Below are 6,553 nucleotides of genomic sequence, written 5' to 3' on the forward strand. Positions count from 1 at the left end.
TTCCTGGGTTGGCTCAGGGCAAAGGCCCAGGTACCTTCCTGGCCCCCAGATCCTGTCTTGAGGCAGGGGCCACCTTTAGGGGTACCTGCGTCTCTGCTTGGTGCCTGTGGGTTTCGGTGGCCTGGCCACGGAGTCAGTCCCAGTCAGAGAAGCGACAGGAACCGTGGTGGGGGCACCCCTGCGGGACCCCTCGGGACAGCCTCTCTTTCTTACTCCTTTCCTCTCTTCCTTCCTCCCCACTTTCCAACTGGAAGGGGGGCGGGAGGGGAGGGGCCATAAAGGAGAAGGGGCTCCTTGTCCAGGCCTCGGGCTGTGGTGGGCTTGACCTGGCGCCAGCTCCCCAGGGACGGCCTGGGCGGAGGTATTGGGGGCGGGGACCTAGAAGCAGCCGCCCCAGAGTCCGGCAGACGCTGAGAACAGAGAGTGCCTGGGGGGCGGGGGGCAGCTTTCAGGGTCCCCTGGGGTCAGCTCTGGGACAGTTGCCGTTTTTAATCTGCACAAGTGATTTAGAAGGAGCCGCCAGGGCTGCAACCTAGATCCACTCAGACCCAGCTCGGGAAGTGCGGGGAGGCGCGGCCCAAGAACTGTGCCCTCCCCCCAGCTGTGGCCACAGGGCAGCGGGGACCCTGGATGAAGCTTCCACCACCCAGCTGTGGCCACAGGGCAGTGGGGGCCCCGGACGAAGCTTCCTCCCCGAGCTGTGGCCGCAGGGCAGTGGGGACCCCGGACGAAGCTTCCTCCTCTCCTGCCAGCCAGAACCCGGGTTCATGGTGACCTTGCATGCCCGAAGTCTGTCCATCCTGTCCCGGACTGGCTCTCCTCTCCCCTCCCCTCCCCTCCTCCTCTACTCTCAGGCATCCAGGGACCGCCGCCCAGCCCAGCTTCAGGGCCGGAGGCTCCCCCAGATCTAGGGCCTTGAAGGAGCCCCGGTCCCTGAGCTCACAGCACAGACGCCCGGACCCTGGCAGATGCCGGCTTTCAGCCCACCCACCCGGCAGCTGGGAGCCACCCACCCCAGGAAGGAAGGGCTGGGGGTGGGCTGCGCATCCAGCTCGCCGGGGTCCCCACCAAGGACCTTGACTTGGCTGCCAGCGACCACCCCACCCCTGCTGACACAAGCTGGGCGCGCCTCCCTCGGTCTTTGGGCGCAGGGAGGGAGGGCTGGGTCTCCAGTCCTTCTGACCACTCCGCTGCCTGCTTGCGGCCCGTCCCCACCACCCACCACCCGAGCTGCAGGTGCGGTGGAGACGGGGAGGGGAGAAGGTGCAGGGGCACACGGGCCGTCGCCCTGAGGGATTTTCGATGGTTCCACGACTTGGGGGAGCCAGGAAAAAGGGGCAACTTCTGTGGCCTCCCGTGGACTTGGGACCCCTGGTGGAGTCGGAATCCTCACGAGAGACTCCTGTGGGGAAACACATCCTAGGCCCTCTGGGCTGGGCCCCTGGTCCACCTGGGACGCAGGCTGGAGAGGCCAAATGCAGGGGCCAGGAAGCACCAAACTGGCTCTTAGGCCAAGAGCCAAGGGACCCCCACCCTTTCCATGTGTCCCCCAATCCAGGCCCAGCGTCATCCCCCCTCCTCACCCACACCCGGGGCTGACTGTCCGAGATACAGGCTGTGTTTTCCATCTGGTCACCACGCGCCCCCCCAGGTGAGGGTCTCCGAGGGGCAACGCGTGAAAAGCCGGAGCGGATCGCCTCACGGGGCGGAATGGCTGCTGGTGCCGGCCTGGTCAGAGGCCGGGATCGGTATTTGCTGAATATACAACACAGAGGGACCAATAAAAATACAGAGAAAAGCACGGAGCCGCCGGCGTGGCAGAAGAGCCTGCGGAGAAGCTCCCTCAAAGACTGGCAGGCGACACAACCACAACCTGTGGAAAAGCAACTGGGGCAAAGCTCTTGGCTTTAAGAATACCCCCTTGGGGCCGGGCGCGGTGGCTCACGCCTGTAATACCAACACTTTGGGAGGCCAAGGTGGGCAGATCACGAGGTCAGGAGCTCGAGACCATCCTGGCTAACACGGTGAAACCCCGTCTGTACTAACAATACAAAAAATCAGCCGGGCGTGGTGGCGGGCGCCTGTAGTCCCAGCTACTTGGGAGGCTGAGGCAGGAGAATGGCGTGAACCCGGGAGGCGGAGCTTGCAGTGAGCTGAGAACATGCCACTGCACTCCAGCCTGGGCGACAGAGCGAGACTCCGTCTCAAAAAAAAAAAGAAAAGAAAAGAAGAAAAGAAAAGCCCCTAGAGGCCAGGGTCCTTGAACAAAAGTGCGCGATGCCCTGTGTCTGCAGCGGGGAGAGGTCTGGAGCCCGTGTGTCCGACAGCAGAAGTGGACACAGTGGTGCCAGGGCAGGAACCCTGGGGGCATTTGCAGGCCTGTGCTGCGAGACTGCAGTGGCGCTCAGGACACACCTCGGAGAAGAGCAAGCCTGCTGCAGAGTGACATGAACACCAGGTCTGTTTCTGTACGAGCCAGTGACAGAAGACCCCTAGATAAGACTCTCTGTACGTATATGTTTGTAGGCAAATGGAAGGTGAGAAAGACACGGTCCCGACTAGCAAGTCTGGATGTCTACGAGGAGTGTGGGAAGAACGGTTAATCGCTTCACATCCCTGCGTCACTGTGTATGATGAGAATGTTACATTTCGAATAACAAAAATGAGCACTTATATCAAAAACTGGTTATTGCAGTGAGAGAAAGGACCCTGCTCTAGGGTCTTCCAAGCCGGGGTGAGCCTGGGCCTTGAACATACCCTTCAAAGTGTGTGTATGGGGCCCAGGGGACGATCTACCATTTCTGCACTGGAGTCTGCAGAAATGGTGCAGACTGCCCCAGAAGAATTCAGCCTACATCACACAGGCCAGCAGGACTTTTTTTTTTTTTTAGTGCAGCAGTGCGATCATAGCTGACTGCAGCCTTGAACTCCTGGCCTGAAGCAATCCTCCCGCTTCAGTCACCCAAGTGGTTGGAACTGTAGGCTCGACCCACCAGGCCTGGCCCCTGCAGGGCTCTTGACCCCAACCCAGACTTTACCTTGATGTGGGGAGCTGTCCCCACTCCCTCCCCTGACAATGCAGGGCACTGTGTCAAGGATTCTGGAGAGACCCTGGCTCATTCCCACAGGAGACGGGGAACAGGCCTGGGGAGGAGCCAAATGCCAGTGTCGGGGGGCCGGAGGCTGCAGTGGCAGTGCTTGTAGGCAGGGAGGACAGTGAGCCCTCCACATATACATAGCATGGCCCCCAGGGGTGTGTACTGGGATGGGTGTTGGGGGGTACTCTGGGGAGGGCTGCTCACTGGTGTCCTTCATCCCGGGCAGGAGAGAGGCCCAGAGCACAGGCCCTGCAGGGAGCCAGGACGGAGAAGGCTCCAGTGTACGCCACTCCCCCACCAACCCCACCGTCCTTGAGGGCTCTGAGCAATTAATTCTCTGTGACTCCAGATGTTCAGCAGCTGTCTTGGCCATTTCCGCCCCTTCTCCTGACCCTGCGTCCTCCAGGAAGCATCCCCTCCTGTCCTTGGGCTCCAAGCCACCCCCACCTTCCCTGCACCCCATTTCCTGAGCAGAGGCGTTTGTGCAGACTCAGCTCCCGCACCCACCAGGGTAGCCTCAGTTTTCCCAAGGCCTGGGCACTGCTCCCTGAGTCCAGGGCTGCTGGGGTCGGCTCACTCCCTGACGGATGCCCTCTGCCAGGGGCTCTGATCCTGGTTCCTGCCCCTCCGGCCTCTGGGACTGGTTTTCTCTCTCTCCTCTCCTTCCTTCTCCAAGGTTGGCTCTGCAGGCTCCACTGGCATAAATCAAGGGCCTCCAGGGAGGGTTCAGTGCAGGAGGGTTGGCAGGACTGGCCAGGGGGAGAGCCCTGCCCCAGTGCAGGAGGGCCCAATGCAGGAGGGTGGGAACCAAGGGGTGGAGGGCTCAGAGACTGGCAGGCCCTGTGGGGGTGGGTGCACGCTCAGATGTCGGCGTGGAGGGCACCGGGGTGGAGGTGGGGGTTGCCTCCACAAACAGATCAGCAGGGACACAGCCCCCACCTCCACCTTGTGGACACTTCCCTGAGCTGATGGCGGTGGAGGCACAAGAGGTCATGGCTGCTGCAGCTGGTCGTCTGGGGGCTCTTCTGGAGAGGGGACAGCTCCCTTCCTGTCACATGCTTTCCTGTCTCAACAGAGCCGGGGGTTCTGGGGCACTTGGACTCCCGTGGGCTGGTGGGATCAGGGGCTGGGCCAGACACAGGATGAGGCATGGAACCCCTGGGGGCCAGCGGCTCCAGCCCGCTGACCTCTGCCCCTCAGAATCCGGTCCCAGGCTCTCCCCTCCTCCTCTCAAGAACTTCCTGCTCTGTGTGTGTGTGTGGGTGGGTTGTTGTGGGGGAAGCTAAGGGCAGGTGGGCCTGGCTAAAGAAAAGCCTGCATTTCCAAACAAGTCCCAGAGCAGATCAAGCTGGGAGACTGCCCCCAGGAGGACGAGGCTCCTCCAAGCAGGATCTGCTCAGGGGAATCAAAATAAGGTTTAGTGCGTCCAACATCCTGCGTGGACAGTCCTCCAGGACTCCTGCCGCTGCCAGGATCTGAACTGAGGTGGCAGGGACACCTCCTGTCAGAACTTCGGCTCTGCTGCTGGGTTCACTCCTGTGGTCTCACACAAAATGGGCCGGTAGCCTTTGGGCCCACAGCCCCAACCTGCCTAGAGTAGGCAGCCGCTGAGTTTATGAAAGAGGCTCCTGGGAAAGGAATCATCTCCCACCCTCTGCAGAAGTTTCCATCCCCACCCCTATCCACCAGGCTCCTTTCCCCACAGGGTCAGGGGTGGACACTTGAGCAGGACCAGAACCACCAATCCCCAGGGGAAGCCTTGCCCATCCCTTGGCTGCAGGGGCAGTACCCTGTGTGTTTCCTCCTGGGGCAGGGCTCCTGTTGCTGCCCAGGACCCAGTGGAAAGGATGGTGTGACAGGTGCACCAGTGGACCCTGAGACACCCTCTTTGTCCTCAGGCTTTGACCAATGAGCACAGTAGCCAATCGGAGATCAAAGCTGGATAACCAGGAAAATCTGGATCTCAACTGTGTGTGTGCCTGGGGGTAGGACTGCCAGATTTAGCAAAACAAAAACAAATTTAAAAACAGGGTATATCTAGACCGGGTGCGGTGGCTCCTGCCTGTAATCCCAGCACTTTGGGAGGCCAAAGCGGGTGATCCACCTGAGGTCAGGAGTTAGAGGCCAGCCTGACCAACGTGGTGAAACCCCATCTCTACTAAAAGTACAAAAAGTTAGCCGGGCATGGTGGCGGGCACCTGTAATCCCAGCTACTTGGGAGGCTGAGGCAGGAGAATTGCTTGAACACCCAGGAGGCAGAGGTTGCAGTGAGCTGAGATTGCACCATTGCACTCCAGCCTGGGCGACAAGAGTGAGACTCCGTCTCAAAAACAAACAAACAAACAAACAGAAAAAACAGGATATCCAGTTAAATTTGAATTTCAGATAAACAATTTTAAAATAATGTCTCAAGCAGAAGTTGGAACATACTTATACCCAAAAAGTATTTGTTTATTTGTAATTCCAATTTAACTGGCATATTATTCTGTATTTTATCTGGCAACCTAGAATGGGGGTAATAGCCCCCCAAATCGCTCCCTTTGTTAATTGGTCCCTGTCTTCTGTCCCCCAACCCCTAAAGGCAGCAGCTGACTCCCCCAACTAGGGGCGGGGCCTGTTAGGGTCAGGCAGTGCCTCTAACCCAGACGCTGAGCAGGAGAGCAGAGAGGGGGTGCTTCAGCCTGAAACTACCCCTTCCCCAGAAGGCTGGGGTCCCAGGCGGGCCTGGCACCTGGGCTCAGAGGCTCTGGCTGGATTTGCCAAACTCCCTGATTGTAGCATGTTTGTTTCTGGTCTGGGGAGCTGTTGAGTACCTGGAGCTGCCCTCTTCCCTGGGGCTCCTCCTGGCAGGCGGCTTCCGACCCTGCCCTCAGGTGGGCTGGCCCTTTCCAGGGCAGGAGAAAAGATACCTCTCCAGAAAAGAGGGAGGCGCAGCCTGGGAGTGGGGGCTCGACCCAGGAGCGAGAAAGAGGAACCCCAGCCAGGCAGGACCCGCCCCAGAAGGTCACTGCTGTTGCTGGCAGCCAGTGAAAAGAGGATCCAGAAAAGGAGAGGGCTTGTTTCTGGTCAGCACCGAAGAAGGAAGGTGTGGAGAGGAGGGGCCGGGCCGAGAGCAAATACCGCCTTTTTGGTGCAGCAGCAGCCCTGTCTCTGACCCCGGCCGTCCTGGGGAGATGAGGTTTAAACCAGCAGACCCTGAAGGGAAACTTGCAGGACCCACAGCAAGCCTGGTACAGGCGGAGGAGGCCTTGCTGTCCCTTTTTGGCCCGTGGGGCTGTCCATCTTAAATTTAAGGAAGAGGGAGGCGGGGTGCAGGGACTCACACCTGTAATCCCAACACTGTGGGAGGTGGAGGCGGGGTGCAGGGACTCACACCTGTAATCCCAACACTGTGGGAGGTGGAGGCGGGAGGATCGCTTGAGCCCAGGGGTTCAAGACCAGCCTAGGCAGCATAG

The 6,553-nt window shown here is 59.8% G+C and overlaps 1 annotated feature.

Moving 5' to 3' along the window:
• Nucleotides 3,885–4,044: a silencer, noted in NCBI's record as "silent region_13189". NCBI's record gives its function as "represses an Ori minimal core promoter by ATAC-STARR-seq in GM12878 lymphoblastoid cells {active_cell/tissue: GM12878}" and the evidence as "EXISTENCE:reporter gene assay evidence [ECO:0000049][PMID:35858748]".

The sequence above is a fragment of the Homo sapiens genome, chromosome 20, assembly GCF_000001405.40.
Source record: "Homo sapiens chromosome 20, GRCh38.p14 Primary Assembly".
Classification (NCBI taxonomy): domain Eukaryota; kingdom Metazoa; phylum Chordata; class Mammalia; order Primates; family Hominidae; genus Homo; species Homo sapiens.